This window comes from Homo sapiens, chromosome X (assembly GCF_000001405.40).
Source record: "Homo sapiens chromosome X, GRCh38.p14 Primary Assembly".
NCBI classification, from domain to species: Eukaryota; Metazoa; Chordata; class Mammalia; order Primates; family Hominidae; genus Homo; species Homo sapiens.
Genome location: NC_000023.11, coordinates 49283972 through 49302378, shown reverse-complemented (window position 1 = coordinate 49302378; position 18407 = coordinate 49283972). Strand labels below are relative to the sequence as shown.

The following is an 18407-nucleotide window of genomic DNA, read 5'->3' as shown; positions in this document are numbered from 1 at the left end:
AACAGAATGGAATGACTTACTCTGATAAAGTCCATCTACAAAAAAAGGACAGTAAATAGGATGGTGAAATGTTGAAATTTTTCGGTTTCTCATCAGGGATAAGACAAGGATATTGACTGTCACCATTTTAACAGGTGGGTCTGCACAATGCCATAAAATCAGAAAAGGAAATAAAACTCTTTACAATGGCAACAACAGGCCCGGCACGGTGGCCCACGTCAGTAATCTCAGCACTGTGGGAGGTGAGGCGGGTGCATCACTTGCACTCAAAAGTTCAAGAACAGCCCGGGAAACATGGCAAAACCCCGTCTCTACAAAAAATACAAAAGGAAAAAGAAAAAAAAAATGGCAGAAACAAAATTGTTCTTATTCAAGGATGGTATGATTCTGTATGTTGAAGACTGAAAACCATCTAGAAGTAAACTTTTAGAATTCATAAGCATATTTCACAAGGCTGCTGGATAGAAAATCAATATATAAGAATTATGTCTCGCCCGGGCGCGGTGGCTCACGCCTGTAATCCCAACACTTTGGGAGGCCGAGGTGGGTGGATCACGAGGTCAGGAGTTCAAGAGCACCCCGGCCAAGATGGCGAAACCCCGTCTCTACTAAAAATACAAAATCTGGCTGGGTAGGTGGTGGGCTCCTGTAATCCCAGCTACTCGGGAGGCTGAGGCAGAAATTGCTTGCATCCAGGAGGCGGGGGTTGCAGTGAGCAGAGATCACACCACTGCACTCTAGCCTAAGCAACAGAGTGAGACTCTGTCTGGAAAGAGAAAAAAAGAAAAAAAAAAAAGGAATGATGTCTCTGCATACCAGCTGAAACAGTTAGAATATAAAATTTCAAAGAATGATACATATTTCACAGCATCAGAAAGCTAGAAATAAAATTCACAAAAGATGCGCAAGACTACTTTGCAGAAGGCTGTAAAGCTTTATTGGGAGAATTTTAATGAACAAATTTCCAACATAGGAGCAGCCTGCATCATTTCAGCTTGTCTTCTTTTAACTCCGTGATTGCTTTTCACCTGTAACAGAAACATAACAACTGGGAACATTACTTAACAGCAGTTTATTTATATGATTCTAAAGGCATGTAAAGCATACTACAGTTTGGGTTTTATTAAATAGACAAAAAAACAGAACCCTAAAGGTGATCCTGTGTCTTACATCCAATTAAACCTCTGTATACACTTTGAGGGTAGACCTCCAGAATTTAAAGGTAATTTCTTACCTATACATCAAGTACCTCCTTTAAATTCAGAAGCACTTATAATGAATGGTCAGCAATTTGGAAAACACATATGTAAAACATATTTCAGTTGATTACTCAGGAAGTACTAAAGTCATGGTCTTTGAACTTCAAATCTTATCAACTCATGTCTCAAAATCTGAAACTTACGTGTAACATTTGATATGGTTAGAGGTGATTATATCACTCTATCCACAGTCTTATTAGAAACAGTGGCTCATGCAGACTGACTGTGGGGCAGGGAGCATGCTTAGCACAAGCATCTTACTCACACCCATCCTGAGCATCACTGACCTTCATGCCACAGAAAATAGAAACTAAACAATCTATCACCTTTTGATTATTCACTCACTCAAGGTTTCCTTTGTGAAAGATTTAAAAAGCAATTATTTATTAAGAGCCAGAGAATCCCATCCTGGGCAACATAGTGAGACCTCATCTCTACAAAACTTATATCAAAAAAACAAAATTAATCGGGCCACGGTGGCTTGTGCCTATAGTTCCAGCTACTCAAGAGGCTGAGATGGGATGATCGCTTGAGCCTGGGAGTCAGAGGGTGCAGTGAGCTGAAGTTGTACCACTGCACTCCCGCCTGGGTGACAGAGTGAGACTCTGTCTTAAAAAAAAAAAAAAAAAAAAAAAAAAAAAACAGCAGCAATAGCAAGATGGCCAAATAGTAATACCTCTGGTCTGCAGCTCCCAGTGAGATCAAGGCAGAAGGTGGGTGATTTCTGCATTTCCAGCTGAGGTACCCGGCTCATCTCACTGGGACTCATTAGACAGTGGGTGCAGCCCATGGAAGGCAAGCCGAAGTAGAGTGGGGCACTGCCTTACCGGGGAAGCAGTAGGGGTCGGGGAACTCCTTCCCCTAGCCAAGGGAAGTTATGAGGAACTGTGCTGTGATGAACGGTGCATCCAGGCCCAGATACTATGCTTTTCCCATGGTCTTCTCAACCCACAGACCAGGAGATTCCCTCCTGTGCCTATGCCACCAGGGCCCTAGGTTTCAAACACAAAACTGGGCAACCGTTTGGGCAGATATGGAGCTTGCTGCAGGAGTTGTTTTTCATACCCCAGTGGTGCCTGGAATGCCAGCAAGACAGAACCGTTCACTCCACTGGAAAGGGGGCTAAAGCCAGGGAGCCATGTGGTCTAGCTGAGCAGGTCCCACCACCACGGAGCCCAGCAAACTAAGATCCACTGACTTGAAATTCTCACTGCCAGCACAGCAGTCTGAAGTTGACCTGGGATGCTCAAGCTTGGTGGGGGGAGGGGCGTTTGTCATTACTGAGGCTTGAGTAGGCAGTTTTCCCCTCACATTATGAACAAAGCCTCCGGGAAGTTCAAACTGGGCAGAGCCCACGGCCGCTTGGCAAACCCGCTGTAGCCAGACTGCCTCTCTAGATTCCACCTCTCTGGGAAGGGCATCTCTGAAAGAAAGGCAGCAGCCCCAGGCAGGGGCTTATAGATAAAACTCCCATCTTTCTGGGACAGAGCACCTGGGGGAAGGGGCGGCTGTGGGCACAGCTTCAGCAGACTTAAATGTTCCTGCCTGCTGGCTCTCAAGAGAGCAGCGGATCTCCCAGCACAGCGCTCAAGCTCTGCTAAGGGATAGACTGCCTCCTCAAGTGGGTCCCTGACCCCCATGCCTCCTGACTGGGAGACACCTTCAAGCAGGGGCTGACACATACCTCATATACAAGAGCTCCGGCTGGCATCTGGCAGGTGCCCCTCTGGGACGAAGCTTCCCAGAGGAAGGAAAAGGCAGCAATCTTTGCTGTTCTGCAGCCTCTGCTGGTGATACCCAGGCAAACAGGGTCTGGAGTGGAACTCCAACAAACTCCAGCAGACCTGCAGCAGAGGGGCCTGACTGTTAGAAGGAAAACTAACAAACAGAAAGGAGTAGTATCAACATCAACAAAAAGGACATCCACACAGAAACCCCATCTGAAGGTCACCAACATCAAAGACCAAAGGGAGATAAATCCACAAAGATGAGGAAAATCCAGCACAAAAAGGCTGAAAATTGCAAAACCCAGAATGCATCTTCTCCTCCAAAGGATCACAACTCCTTGCCAGCAAGGAAATAAAACTGGACCGAGAATGAGTTTGACGAACTGTCAGAAGTAGGCTTCAGAAGGTGGGTAATAACAAACTCCTTCGAGCTAAAGGAGCATGTTCTTACCCAATGCAAGGAAACTAAGAGCCTTGAAAAAAGGTTAGAGAAATTGCTAACTAGAATAACTAATTTAGAGAAGAACATAAACGACCAGATAGAGCTGAAAAACACAGCACGAGAACTTCATGAAGTATACACAAGTATCAATAGCCAAATCGATCAAGCGGAAGAAAGGATATCAGAGACTGAAGATCAACTTAATGAAATAAAGCATGAAAACAAGATTAGAATAAAAAGGAACGAACAAAGCCTCCAAGAAATATGGGACTATGTGAAAAGACCAAACCTACATTTGACTGGTGTACCTGAAAGTGACGGGGAGAATGGAACCAAGTTGGATAACACCCTTCAGGATATTATCCAGTAGAACTTCCCCAACCTAGCAAGACAGGCCAAGATTCAAATTCAGGAAATACAGAGAACAGCACAAAGATACTTCTTGAGAAGAGCAACCCCAAGACACATAATCATCAGATTCACCAAGGTTGAAATCAAAGAAAAAATGTTAAGGGCAGCCAGAGAGAAAGGTCGGGTTACCCACATAGGGAAGCCCATCAGACTAAGAGTGGATCTCTGCAGAAACCCTACAAGCCAGAAGAGAGTGGGGGCCAATATTCAACATTCTTAAAGAAAAGAATTTTCAACCCAGAATTTCATATCCAGCCAAACTAAGCTTTATAAGCAAAGGAGAAATAAAATCCTTTACAGACAAGCAAATGCTGAGAGATTTTCTCGCCACCAGGCCTGCCTTACAAGAGCTCCTGAAGGAAGCACTAAATATGCAAAGGAAAAACCAGTACCAGCCACTGCAAAAACATACCAAATTGTAAAGACCATTGACACTATGAAACTGCATGAACGAATGGGCAAAATAACCAGCTAGCATCATAATGACAGGATCAAATTCACACATAACAATATTAACCTTAAATGTAAACGGGCTAAATGCCCCAATTAAAAGACATAGACTGGCAAATTGGATAGAGTCAAGACCCATCGGTGGGCTATATTCAGGAGAGCCATCTCACATGCAAAGACACACATAGGCTCAAAAATAAAAGGATGAAGGAATACTTACCAAGCAAATGGAAAGCAAAAAAAAAAAAAAAAAAAAAAAAAGCAGGGGTTGCAATCCTAGTCTCTGATAAAACAGACTTTAAACCAAAAGAGACAAAGATCAAAAGAGACAAAGAAGGGCATTACATAATGGTAAAGGGATCAATGCAACAAGAAGAGGTAACTATCCTAAATATATATGCACCCAATACAGGAGCACCCAGATTTATAAAGCAAGTTCTTGGTCAGGCGCGTTGGCTCATGCCTCTAATCCCAGCACTTTGGGAGGCCGAGGCGGGTAGATCACAAGGTCAGAAGATCGAAACCATCCTGGCTAACATGGTGAAACCCTGCCTCTACTAAAAAATACAAAAAATTGGCCAGGCGCGGTGGCTCACGCCTGTAATCCCCGCACTTTGAGAGGCCGAGGCGGGCGGATCACGAGGTCTGGAGATCGAGACCATCCTGGCTAACACGGTGAAACCCCGTCTCTACTAAAAATACAAAAAAATTAGCCAGGCATAGTGGCAGGCACCTGTAGTCCCAGCTACTCGGGAGGCTGAGGCAGGAGAATGGCGTGAACCCAGGAGATGGAGCTTGAAGTGAGCCGAGATTGCGCCACTGCACTCCAGCCTGGGTGACAGAGCGAGACTCTGTCTCAAAAAATAAATAAATAAATAAATAAATAAATAAATAAATAAATAAAAATAAAGCAAGTTCTTAGAGACCTACAAAGAGACTTAGACTCCCACACAATAATAGTGGGAGACTTTAACACCTCACTGGCAATATTAGACAGATCAGTGAGACAGAAAATTAACAAGGATATCCAGGACTTGAACTCAGCTCTGGACCAAGCGGGCCTAATAGACATCTACAGAACTCTCCACCCCACATCAACAGAATATACATTCTTCTCAGCACCACATCGCACTTATTCTAAAATTGACCACATAATTTGAAGTAAAACACTCCTCAGCAAATGCAAAAGAACAGAAATCATAACAAACAGTCTCTCAGACAACAGTGCAATCAAATTAGAGCTCAGAATTAAGAAACTCACTCAAAACCACACAACTACATGGAAACTGAACAACCTACTCCTGAATGACTACTGGGTAAATAATGAAATTAAGGCAGAAATAAAGTTATTTGAAACCAATGAGAACAAAGACACAATGTACCAGAATCTCTGGGACACAGCTAAAGCAGTGTTTAGAAGGAAATTTATAGCACTAAACGCCCACAGGAGAAAGCGGGAAAGATCTAAAATCGACACCCTAATATCACAATTAAAAGAACTAGGGAAGCAAGAGCAAACAAATTCAAATGCTAGCAAAAGACAAGAAATAACTAAGATCAGAGCAGAACTGAAGGAGACAGAGAGGTGAAAAACCCTTCAAAAAATCAACAAATCCAGGAGCTGGTTTTTTTAAAAGATTAACAAAATAGATAGACTGCTAGCCAGATTAATAAAGAAGAAAAGAGAGAAGAATCAAATAGACACAATAAAAAACAATAAAAGGGATATCAGCACTGATCCCACAGAAATACAAACTACCATCAAAGAATACTATACATACCTCTACACAAATAAACTAGAAAATCTAGAAGAAATGGATAAATTCCTGGATACATACACCCTCCCAAGACTAAACCAGGAAGCATTCGAATCCCTGAATAGACCAATAACAAGTTCTGAAATTGAGGCAGTAATTAAAAACCTACCAACCAAAAGAAGCCCAGGACCAGATGGATTCACAGCCAAATTCTACCAGAGTTACAAAGAGAAGCTAGTACCATTGCTTCTGAAACTATTCCAAACAATAGAAAAAGAGGGACTCCTTCCTAACTCATTTTATGAGGCCAGCATCATCCTGATACCAAAACCTGGCAGAGACACAACAAAAAAAGAAAATTTCAGGCCAATATGATACCTCATGTATCATTGGGGTGATAATGATCAATTGTAACAAATGCACCACGCTGGTGAGGGTTGCTGATAATGGGGAGGCTGTGCATGTGTGGAGGTGAGGGGTATATGGGATATGTCTGTACCTTCCTCTCAGGTTTACTGTAAACCTAAAACTGCTCTTTAAAAAAAAAAAAGTCTTTTTTAAAAAGAAGAAGATAAAGTTGCCAGGTCCAGATGGTTTCACTGGCAAATTGTGTCAAACATCTAAGAAGAAATAATACCAATTCTACAAAATCTCTTCAAAAAATAAGACAGGAACACTTCTCAAATAGCATTACCCTGATACCAAAACCAGAAAAAAAGAAAGTATGGGAAAAGTACAGCCCAACTTCCTTCATGAACATAGATGAAAAAAAAATCCTCAACATAATATTACCAATTCAAATCCAATATACAAAAATAAGACACCATGACCAAGTGAGGCTTATCCTGGGGATGCAAAACTGACACAATATTCAAAAATCAATCAATGTGACCGGGTGCAGTGGCTCATGCCTGTAATCCCAGCACTTTGGGAGGCTGAGGTGGGGGGATCGCTTGAGCCCAGGAGTTCGAGATGAGCCTGGCCAACATGGGGAAACCCCATCTCTACTAAAAATACAAAAATTAGTCAGGTGTGGTGACACACACCTATAGTCCCAGCTACTTGGGAGGCTGAGACACGAGAATTGCTTGAACCCAGGAGGCAGTTGCAGTGAGCTGATACAGCACAACCACACTCCGGCCTTGGTGACAGAGAGACTCTGTCTCAAAAAAGTAAAACAAATTAAAATAAAATAAAATAAAAATCAATAAATGCAATCTACCATACTGACATTCGAAAGTAACTGAACCACATAATCGTATCATGTCATGCAGAAAAAGCTTCTGACAAAATTCAACATTGATTCATGATCTTAAAAAAAACTCTTAGCAAACAAGAAGATAACTTTCTTAACCTGATATAAAGCATCCACCAAAAAAAAAAAAAAACCTACAGCTTAGATCATACTTTTTTTTTTTTTTTTTGAGACATATTCTCGCTCTGTTGCCCAGGCTGGAGTGCAGTGGCACGATCTTAGCTCACTGCAAGCTCCACCTCCCGAGTTCACACCATTCTCAGCCTCAGCCTCCCGAGTAGCTGGGACTACAGGCGCCTGCCACCACGCCTGGCTAATTTTTTGTATTTTTAGTAGAGACGGGGTTTCACCGTGTTAGCCAGGATGGTCTCGATCTCCTGACCTCATGATCCACCCCCCCTCAGCCTCTCAAAGTGCTGGGATTACAGGCGTGAGCCACCCTGCCTGGCTTAGATCATACTTAATAGAGAAAAACTAAATGCTTTCTCCCTAAGATCAGAAATGAGGCAAGAATGTCCACTCTTACTCCTGCTATTCAACATTGTAATTGAAAGGCCTGACCAGCTGCAGTGGCTCACGCCTGTACTCCCAACACTTTGAGAGGCCGAGGTTGGCGGATCACTTGAGCTCCGGAGTTCGAGACCCCTGGGCAACACGGCGAAACCCCATCTCTACAAAAAATACAAAATTTAGCTGGGTGTGGTGGCACATGTGTCTGTAGTGCCATCTACTCGGGAGGCTGAGGTGGGAGAATCACTTGAGCCCAGGAGGTCAAGGCTGCAGTGAGCCGCTATCTCAAAAAAAAAAAAATGTAGTGATGGAGTGTTGCGTGGGTGAGGGGGTGAGGAGAGGGAGTGACTCTAAGGGGAGGCACAATGGAGTTCTTTAGGGTAATAGAACTGTTCTGAATACTAATTACAGTGGTGGTTACATGAATCTACACATATTAAAATTCATAGAAACTCCCCCAAAGTAAATTCTACTGTGACAATTTTTTAAATAAATTTTTTAAATGGTATCAATCAAGCAGTTGAAAATCCTTGTGTGGGGTTTTGCTTGTTTGGTTGTTTGTTGTTGTTGTTTTGAGACAGGGTCTCATACCTTCACCCAGGCTGGAGTGCAGTGGCCCGATCTTGGCTCACTGCAACCTCTGCCTCCCAGGCTCAAGTGATCCTCCCTCCTCCGCCTCTGAGTAGCTGGGACTATGGGCGCATGCCACCATGCCTAGCTAATTTTTGTATTTTTTGTAGAGATGGGGTTCTCCATGTTGCTCAGGCTGCTCTCAAACTCCTGGACTCAAGTGATCCTCCCACCTCGGCCTCCCAAAGTGCTGGGGTTTCAGACGTGAGTCACCGCGACTGGCCAGAATCCTTGTTTTCTGTAAAACTGTTTTAACACAGGTGTATGTATGCCTAAATACTAGTTTTGTTTGGTTTTGAGCCATATATGAAAAGCATATATCATCTCCTCTTTTGTATCTGGCTTCTTTCACCTAACATTGTGTCTTTGTGTACCTTAGTTCACTCCATCTCATAGCTGTGTAGTATTCCATGATGTCAATACAGCATAATTTACTTATGCATTTCCTGATGATGTATAATTGGGTTGTTTCCAGTATTTTGCTATTACAAATAGTTTTACTATATAAACATTCCTGTGTCTCTCCCAAGTTTACATATATGGGAAACAATGCTCACCACAGATAGTTTATAGTGGCAAAAAAGCAAATCGAACACTACCTAAACATCCAATAGGAGTATAATAATAAATGATGGCATATCATGCAAATCACATCAGGTGAGTCGTTATTTGGATAAATTATCCAAGTGTTAACCTGGTGGCTGTTGTGATGATGACACATGGCTGTAATGACTGCATGTGGGTCACAGTAACTCACATGAGCTCACTGTGAGCTCTTGGAGCATCTTGGGGCTCCCCGTGGGCAGAGATGAGGACCAACAGGAAAGAATAGTGGCACAGTGGCTGGCCACCCCAGAACACTACAGAGACAACCTCACCTGGTCCCCAGCCCACGGTTCTGCTCACAGACTCAGAACTTCCCCCACCTGACTGTCCTGAGCACTTTGAGGAAGGCAGCCCCGGCCATGCCTGAGGTGGCCGCATCCATCCTTCCCCACCAACCCTGACCTGCTCCTCCTCCTCTTGAGCCAAATCTACTTTCTCAACGCCTCGGCTCCCCTCCATTCACGAGCATCCCCTGCACGTTGGGGGTGTAATGATGCCCATTGCACAGGTGAGGAGACTGAGCCCCATAGAGGGCAGCAGCTGGGCCTGCAGCTGCACAGCAGTGTCAGTGGGCCTGTGCTAGGTGGGGCGTGCCTCACCCCACAGCTGTGCATCCCTCAAGCCATACAGAGATTGTCTCCTGCCTCCTCTTTCGAGGGATCCTCCCGGCCCGTGTCTCCCCCAGACCACCAGGCCTGGAGCTTCTAGACCCGGCGTTCAGGCCCTGGGAGAGGACTGGGTGGAGGCGGAGCTGGCAGCTGGCCAGGATCTGGCTGGGGGGTTGGTGGCCTTTTCCTGAGCCCCAGGCTCTGTTGGGGCTGTCTCCAGTGTCTTCAGGATCCAGGCTGGTGCCCTCAGCCAACCTGGCCAACCTGGCCAACCTGGCCAATCTATAGCCTGACCTGCCCTGGGCACAGGCCTCAGAGCCAGTGCATCTTGTGGAAAAATCCTATAATGGACCCTTTAAGTGAGATAAAGAGGATTAAAAATATGAGAACCTCTCTTTAGTGATGGAAATGAGTTCCTGGTAGAAGGAAAAAGAGGAAGAGGAGGAGGAGGAGAGTCATCTGTAGAAGACCCCGAACAACAGTAAAAGCCAGGCCCTCGGCTGCCCCCACCTGTCCACATGCAGAGAGGGAGGCTCCAAGGGACACCCAGCCTGGAGCTCATGCACCCTGAGGCCTGTGACCCTACAAGCAGTTAACGTTTAAGACTGTTCCCGTCTTCTCTGAGGCTTTCCCTGTCTTGGAGATAAGATGCCCCCTGCTGGCAAAGGCAGGTATCACTGTAGGGTGGCCGTCCATGGCTGCGCTGTTGGAGACACCAAGACCTCACCGTGGGACCAGACGCTTTAGTCAGGCTTCCCTGACTGAAAGGAAAAAGTCACTTTGACTTAGCAGGAAGCTCAGGTTTGGACTTGGTCTCATCCTGGACAAAAAACACTGAAGAGGGGAAGCAGAGGGGTTGTAGGATGCGGGTGGGTGATAGCAGGGCTGAAGGCTGAGGACAGAGAGAGAAGGGGCCACTGTGAGACTAAGATGCTGGCCCTAGTCACAAGGAGGAGGGAGAGGTGGACCAGGAAGGCCTCGGCAAAGGGCTGAGCTCAGGGCTGATAAGAACATGGAAGGCCCTCACCTGTAAATGGGTGATAAAAATAGAGTTTATCTAGTAACTGACCACTAAAATTTTAAAAAAGAAAAGTAGGGCCAGTCGTGGTGGCTCATACCTGTAATCCTAGCACTTTGGGAGGCTGAGGCGGGTGGATCACCTGAGGTCAGGAGTTCGAGACCAGCCTGGCCAACATGGTGAAACCCTGTCTCTACTAAAAACACAAAAACTAGTCGGGCATGGTGGTGCATGCCTGTAATCCTAGCTACTCAGAAGGCTGAGGCAGGAGAATCTCTTGAACCCAGGGGGCAGAGGTTACAGTGAGCTGAGAATGTGCCACTTCACTCCAGCCTGGGAGAAAGAGCGAGACTCCGTCAAGAAAGAAAGGAGAGAGACAGAGAGAGAGAGAGAGAGAGAGAGAGAGAGAGAGAGAGAAAAGTAGGCTGGACGTGCTCATGCCTGTAATCCCAAAACTTTGGGAGGCTGAGGCAGGTGGATTGCTTGAGCTGAGGAGCTCGAGACCAGCCTGGGCAACATGGCAAAACCCTGTCTCTAGTAAAAATATAAAAATTAGCTGGGCATGGTGGCATGTGCCTGTAGTCCCAGCTACTCGGGAGGCTGAGGTCGGAGGATCACTTGAACCCAGGAGGTTGAGGCTGCAGTGAGCCGTGATTGTGCCACTGCACTCCAGCTTGGGTGACAGAACAAGATTGCGTCTCAATTTTAAAAGACAGATGTACAAACTTATCAATGTAATTCACCACATTAACAGATTAATGGGAGAGGGCAGGGTGGGGGCATAACAGTGATTGCAAGAGCTCCAGCCAGGGGGAATGACAACGGGCGTGTACTCAGTCTTGCCCTGTGCCTGGCACTGCTCAGTGACTGAAGAGTCATCTCACCTCTTCCTCACTTAACCCTGTGAGGAGGAAAAGTTATTACCCTGATGACAGACGAGCAAAGGGAGGCACAGAGGGCTGAAGCCACTTGCCCACTGTGTGACCCTGGGCAATTTAGTCCCAAACTGTGTCGCTCCAGCCCCTGTTCCTGTCCACCCTCCTACCCTGCCTTGACTATAAGACCTGTCTAACATGGGCTCAGGAGGAGGGCAGTACAACGTTTTCCCCAAAGCCTGCACCTACCCTGCTTGATGGGCATTAGCCCCCTTTATGAATGGGGAACTGAGGCTGGTCTAGGACGGGTGACTTGCCCAAGGTCACACCACCAGGGCTCGGGGTTCCAGGCTTTTATGAGGCCCACCAGGCCCCAAAGCCCATGTGTCCTGGGCTATTGTGGGTGTGAATGAGGCCTGAGGGGAGATGGACCCCAACATCTGAGGACAATATGGGCAGGTCCTGTCCATCCCAAGAGGCCCCACTCTATGGCTGGTGTCAGGGGCACACGATAGAGGATTCCCCACTAGTCGATCTCCACAAACAGAAGGCAAGACCCGGAGCCCAGGGATTGTTCTGCAGGAAGGAGGCCGCCTACACTGTGGTTCACACCAGGAGGCTGGAGTCTCTGCAAGCCTGTGTGCAGGAGTCTCGGACACTCATGCTACTCCCACTTCCCACTGCACTCTGCTTCACTTGTGAGGTCTTTGCATAAGAGTGTATAAAACCTAAATGTATGGGGGGGGTTGTTTTGTTTTTTTGAGACAAGAGTCTCGCTCTGTTGCCCAGACTAGAGTGCAGTGGTGCGATCTCGGCCCACTGCAACCTCCACCTCCTGGGTTCTAGTGATTCTCCCGCCTCAGCCTCCCAAGTAGCTGGGATTACAGGCGCCCACCACCACGCCCGGCTAATTTTTATACTTTTAGTACAGACGGGGTTTCCCCACATTGGCCAGGCTGGTCTCGAACTCCTGACCTCAAGTGATATGCCTGCCTCAGCCTCCCAAAGTGCTGGGATTATAGGTGTGAGCCACCGCGCCCAGCCCATAAGTCTGTTTTAATGATGATGAATAAATTGCACATCCATGAACAGTCTCCCAGGTCAAGCAGTGAACCATTATTGACATCCCAGAAGTCCTCTGGGCCCCTTCTCAGCCACATCCCTCCCTCTGCCAGAGGTGAACACTATCCTGACTCTGGTAATCAGCCCCTCGCTTTTCTTTACAATGTCACCATTTAGGTGGTAATTCATGAGTTTTGCCTGCTTGTGAACTTTGCATAAATGGATCAGTGTGGAAGCTTTTTTTTGGCTTTTTGTGATTCATCTGTATGCTTTCGTGCAGTTATGGATCTTCCATTCTCATTATACAATATTCCATTCTGCGAATATACCACAATTTATTTAGATGCTTATTGGCATCTAAGGTTTGAGCCCTTCATCAGTTATATGTGATTCCATTATCTCCTCCCAATTTTTCACTTGTGTTTTCACTCCTTTTTGTTTTGCTTTTATTCATAGCAACCTACTACATAAGGTTTTCACTCTCTTTATGGTGTCTTTTGATCAATGGACATTCCTAATTTTAAGGTCACTGAATGTTTCGTAATTTTCATTTATGGTTGTTTCTGTGTCGTGATGAAGAAAAACTTTGCTACCATGAGTATACGAAGGTGTTTTGCCTTGTTTTTTGTTTTGTTTTGTTTTTGAGATGGAGTCTCGATCTGTGGCCCAGGCTGGAGTGCAGTGGTGCCATCTCGGCTCACTGCAACCTCTGCCCCCTGAGTTCAAACGATTGTCCCGCCTCAGCCTCCCAAACAGCTGGGACTACAGGTGGATGCCCAGCTAATTTTTGTATTTTTAGTAGAGACGGGGTTTCACCATGTTGGCCAGGCTGGTGGTCTCAAACTCCTGATCCGCCCATCTAGACCTCCCAAAGTGCTGGGATTACAAGAGTGAGCCACAGCACCCGGCCCTGCCTCATTGTATTCTTAAAGCGCTTTGGTTTTGCCCTTCGCATTTAGGCTTTAAACCCACTTAGAATTATTTTTATTTGTGTTGTAAAGTAGGGATCCAAGTTCATATTTTTCAATGCGGGTAACCAATTGTTCTATTTATTCAAAATCCAATCATTTCCCCACTGGTCTAACACACTTCCTTGGTCACCAGTTCTGTGTCTACACGAGTGTGTCTACACTGTTTCCGAGATCACTGTTTTTTTATTGGTCGATTTGTCTACTCTTGCAAAAATATCGTGCCATCTGAATATACCATTACAATAAGTATCAGTGTCCTGGCTAGTCTTGGCACTTCTACATAAATTTAAGAATTAATGTGTCATGATCTACACACAGGCAAAACTCTATTGGAATTGTGGTTGGATTTGCATTGAACCTACAAAGCAGTTTCAAGAGAACTGACAGCTTTGCACAGTGGCCAGTGAGGAAGAAGGGAAATGAGGAGAGTGTGGTATCTTGGAAACCAAGTGAAGAAAGGGTTGCAAGGTAGAGATGATCAACTATGTCAAATGCTGCCAATATCCCAAGTAAGATGACATCTGAGACTTAACCATGGCTATAACAATGTGAATATCTTCAGCAGTTTTGCTGAAATGGTTGGGCAAAAAAGATCTGATTGGGGCTATTTCAGAAAGGCATCATAGAAGAACTGAAGAAAGCTCGTATAGATATTTCTTCCAATAGGTTTTGCTGTAAAGGGAAGTAAATAAATATGTGGTGTTTTATTTTGTTGAGCAGTTTTTTATTTGCATGCAATAAATATATATCTTTCTTTCAAAGCTTCTGGGCTTCCTGTTTTTAGTAGAAATGTGATGTCTGTGGACAGCAACTGTGCTACCAAGTACTGCAGTACATTAACTCCTCTTTCCTTTCTGAGGCCTTCCTTATCTCAGGGACTAAGGGGTCTCCCTGCTGGTGTCAAAGGCTGTTTTTTCAGTAACCTCAAAACCTTGTGGCTGATTCACAACTGATGTCCCCACATCCACAGGAGACCACAGCTACCACTGCAACCATGTGACTGACACCAAACCCTCATGTGGCTGCCACTCTTCCTCCCTGGCTCCCACCACCACCATCCAAATACACACCTGTAGGGTCCCACAGGCAGAATGTGGAAAAGACAAAGAACCATATGGATTAGGACCACGAGACGAGGAGACACACATCTTCAAGGAAAGACATGTTGAAGCAGCAGCAGGCGACCACGTCCCACCCCCAACTCCCCACTGTGATCCTCCCACAGAAAGTGACCACCCTGCACACTCATGCCCAAACAGGAGAACACTACACCGCAAGACACTGTTTCTCATAGAGCTCTATTGTGGCATATAATAATAGGTACTCTATATAAATTAAATTAAAAATAAAGCTCCAGCAGGTTGCACAGGTTGGCTGTTAATAAATATATCTCTGGGTAATTGTGCCCCAAGACCAGCTCACGACCACTCTCCCTCATCCAGAGAATTATACAAAAATAAATACAGGCTCGGGGGGTAGGCGGAGGACATGCCCAGTTCCACTCTAAAAGTTCCCCTCACTCACACCATCTACCCGTTCCCTCATCTCCACTGGTGTCACCACAGGGAGCCCTGTGTTGACTGGAGAGCTTGGGGATGAGAAGGCCTCTCTTTCAGTTGAGCATTCTCAGAAGCAAAGGACCCAGGTCCCCTCACTGCACAGGCCATGTATCCCATCTTAAGCCTCTGCTGATCCCACAAGCAGAGCCTATGAGAACCAAGCCAGAGAGAGGCACAGCGCAAGCACCAGGAGGGACACACCGCTGTTCAGAGCCACAGGGACCACCACTAGCCCGGCCAGGACCCCCAGAGTCTGGGTCAAGGGCCCCCGGAGCTGAGGAGGCAGTGCACACACACATTCTGCAGGGACTGCTAGGGTGGGAGACTTCTTTGGGGGTTCAAGGCTTGGGCCTGCATCCTTTTCATCCTGGGAGCTCACATGAGGCCTGGCTACACTAGAGAGACAGACTTCGGCCCCCAAGGGACTGAGGAGGGTGGGATTTTGCCCCTGCAGAAGGACGGGAGAGGCTGGCTCCTTGCCAGATATGGGATCCAAGCTGCCTGCCCACTCACTGGTGACCTCTATCTGGGCTTCTGTCCCGGCCTCCCCCAGGGACTCAGTCACCCCAGCTATCACCCTATTCATGTGCAAAGAGCTGGTGTCCTTGCCCATCCCTTTCTCAGGATCCCCAATGAACTGACCCTCTGTACCCAGAACCACAGGGCCGTCACATCCTGAGCCCTCTGCCCATGGGAGCCACACATCTCCCATCGTGGCTACCACAGAACGGGCCCCGGAGAGGATTTCTGGAGGCGATTCCTTGGGGCTGTCCCCTTCTGGGCTGGAGGGTGTGACAGAGAGCCCCTCTTCACCCTCCCCTTCATCATCAGGGTCTTCGGTGTCCTTGATGAGCTCCACGCCACGCCCCAGCCGGGCATAGTGCAGCGTGATCTCCTCAGCCAGGGCGCTGTTCAGGGCCCGCTCAGGGCCAGGCCACTTCAAGATCAGGTCGCGGTCCGTCAGTATGCCCAGGGGATGGCTGGGGGACATCCCTCCATCTGTGGAGCCCTCCCCACCACCCCCTGCCCCACCCGCAGCCACAGCAGCCCGTAGGCGGCTCAGGTGAGACAGGTAGAGCTGCTCCAGCTCCTGGTCGATGGTGTCCTCACCGAGCAGCTCCTCTGACCCACTCACAGCCTCCAGCCCCCCTCCATTCTCACTCGATACTCCCCATGTGGCCTCTGCCTGCTGCTGACTGGGCTCCAGGAAAGGCCCGGTGGCCCCCTCGCTCGCATCGGGCCCTGAGGCCTGGTCTCTGGGGGAGCCACCCAGGCCACAGAGAGGGGAGGAGGGGGGAATCCTGATGGCCGGTGCCTGGAGGACCTCTGTAAAAGCCACAGGTGGACTGCTTCTGGGGACATCACCTTCTTCTGCGGGGTTGCCAGTCATCGGAACGTCAGAAACCTGGAGCCATGGCCGGGGCAAGGGGGCAGAGAAAAAGCAAGGGAATGAAGCAGAGGAGGGGATGGAACAAGCAGAGACAGTAAGAAGTGTGACAGCCCACAGCCAGCCCCACAGGGGTTTCTATATAAAAATGCCTTAAAGCGCCCTCTGTCACTGTCTAGACTCCAAAGACTGTCATCTATGGTAAAATAACACAATTGGATGCAGTAAAACAGGGCTTCTTGCAGATTATAAAGCTGAGGAATTCGGTGGGTGTGAATATTTGGTGAATGATCATCACTAAATACTGCTGGCTTACCTTCAAAACAGAGCCAGTTAAAATAACTAAAAGTGTAAGTAGCCAGGCACAGTGGCTCTCACCTGTAATCCAAGCACTTTAGGAAGCCAAGGCGGGCGGATCACATGAAACTAGGAGTTCGAGACCAGCCTGGCCAACATGGTGAAACCCCGTCTCTACCAAAAATACAAAAATTAGCTGGGCGTGGTGTTGTGCGCCTGTAATCTCAAGAGGCTGAGGCAGGAGAATCACTTGAACCCAGAGGGCAGAGATTGCAGTGAGCCGAGACTGTGCCACTGCACTGCAGCCTGGGCGACAGAGACTTTGTCTCAAAAAAAAAAAAATAAAGAGTGTAAGTGGATTGTTTGTAACACACAGGATAAATGCTTGAGGAGATGCATACCTCATTCTCCATGATGTGATTATTACACAATGCATGCCTATATCAAAACATCTCCATAAATATATACACTTACTATGTCCCCTCAAAAATTAAAAATTAAAAAAATTTTAAAAAAAATAAAATGCAAAAAAATCCCAAAACATAGCCAGGATGTCCATATGAACCCATGATGTATCATCTTCTCTTTAAAAAACAATTATTTCCTAGCTCCATCTTTTGAAAGGGCCTAGAAACAATGACCAATCTAGTAGCAGCAAGCATGCCGAGCCCCCAAATCTTGGCCTTTGAATGCCACTCTCCACTGAAAGGAATCAGTGCTCCTTAAAGAAATAGCTGTTTCTGGCCAGGCTCAGTGGCTCACGCCTGTAATCCCAGCACTTTGGGAGGCCAAGGCAGGTGGATCACCAGGCAGGTCAGGAGTTCAAGACCAGCCTGGCCAACATGGTGAAACCCCATCTCTGCAAAAATACAAAAATCAGCCGGGTGTGGTGGCATGTGCCTGTAATCCCAGCTACTCAAGAGGCTGAGACAGGAGAATTGCTTGAACCCAGAAGGCAGAGGTTGCAGTGAACCGAGATTGTGCCACTGCACTCCAGCCTGGGCGACAGAGAAAGACTCTGACTCAAAAAAAAAAAAAAAAAAAAGAAAGAAAAAGAAAAAAGAAAGAAAGAGAGAGAGAGAGGAAAGAAAGGAAAGAAAAATAAAGTAAAAGAAAAGAAAGAAAGAGAGAGACAAAGGAAAGGAAAGAAAGAAAGGAAAGGTAAGGAAAGAAAGGAAAGGAAAGAAAAGAAAGAAAAAGAAAAAGAAAATAAAGAAAAGAAAAGCAAGAAAGAAATGGCTGTTTCCAGGCTTGGGGCAGGGAGAGTACAGGATGAACCTAGCACATATTGTCATGGAAGATGTGAGAAAGGCTCACAGAATGATGAGGGCGTGTCAAAAGGACAGAGTAGCCCATCTCAATAAGCTCCTACTAGCCAGGGATAGTTCAATTTAAGCATCAAAAAAAGCAAACAAATAAGTGCAATGGATTGAAACTCATTCAAATATGTTTAGAATTCATGAGTTCATAATGACACAAAACCAAAAATCCTTTTATTGGTCACCTTTGTAGTAGTACTTCTCTGAAAACTGGTAAATAAAATGGAAAAAATTAAATATTTACACTGCTTTTTCTGCACAAAC

At 46.4% G+C, this 18407-nt stretch overlaps 1 protein-coding gene across 7 annotated transcripts in view, besides 1 other annotated feature; it reads right to left on the bottom strand.

The window, feature by feature from the left end:
* The window catches only part of PPP1R3F (protein phosphatase 1 regulatory subunit 3F), a 31677-nt gene continuing 14179 nt past the window's right edge, over nt 910-18407 (bottom strand). For 5 of the 7 annotated variants that reach the window (NM_033215.5, XM_005272687.4, NM_001184745.2 and 2 more), the window contains exon 4: nt 14289-16545. In NM_033215.5, the coding sequence (NP_149992.3) occupies nt 15289-16545 (1257 nt within the window). In that variant the 3' untranslated portion in view covers nt 14289-15288. Of the gene's footprint in view, nt 1029-2943; nt 3104-14288; nt 16546-18407 lie in introns of those variants that run through there. The other 2 variants (XM_017029934.2, XM_047442614.1) reach the window with 1 other exon arrangement.
* Nucleotides 10355-10404: an enhancer, noted in NCBI's record as "active region_29638". NCBI's record gives its function as "activates an Ori minimal core promoter by ATAC-STARR-seq in GM12878 lymphoblastoid cells {active_cell/tissue: GM12878}" and the evidence as "EXISTENCE:reporter gene assay evidence [ECO:0000049][PMID:35858748]".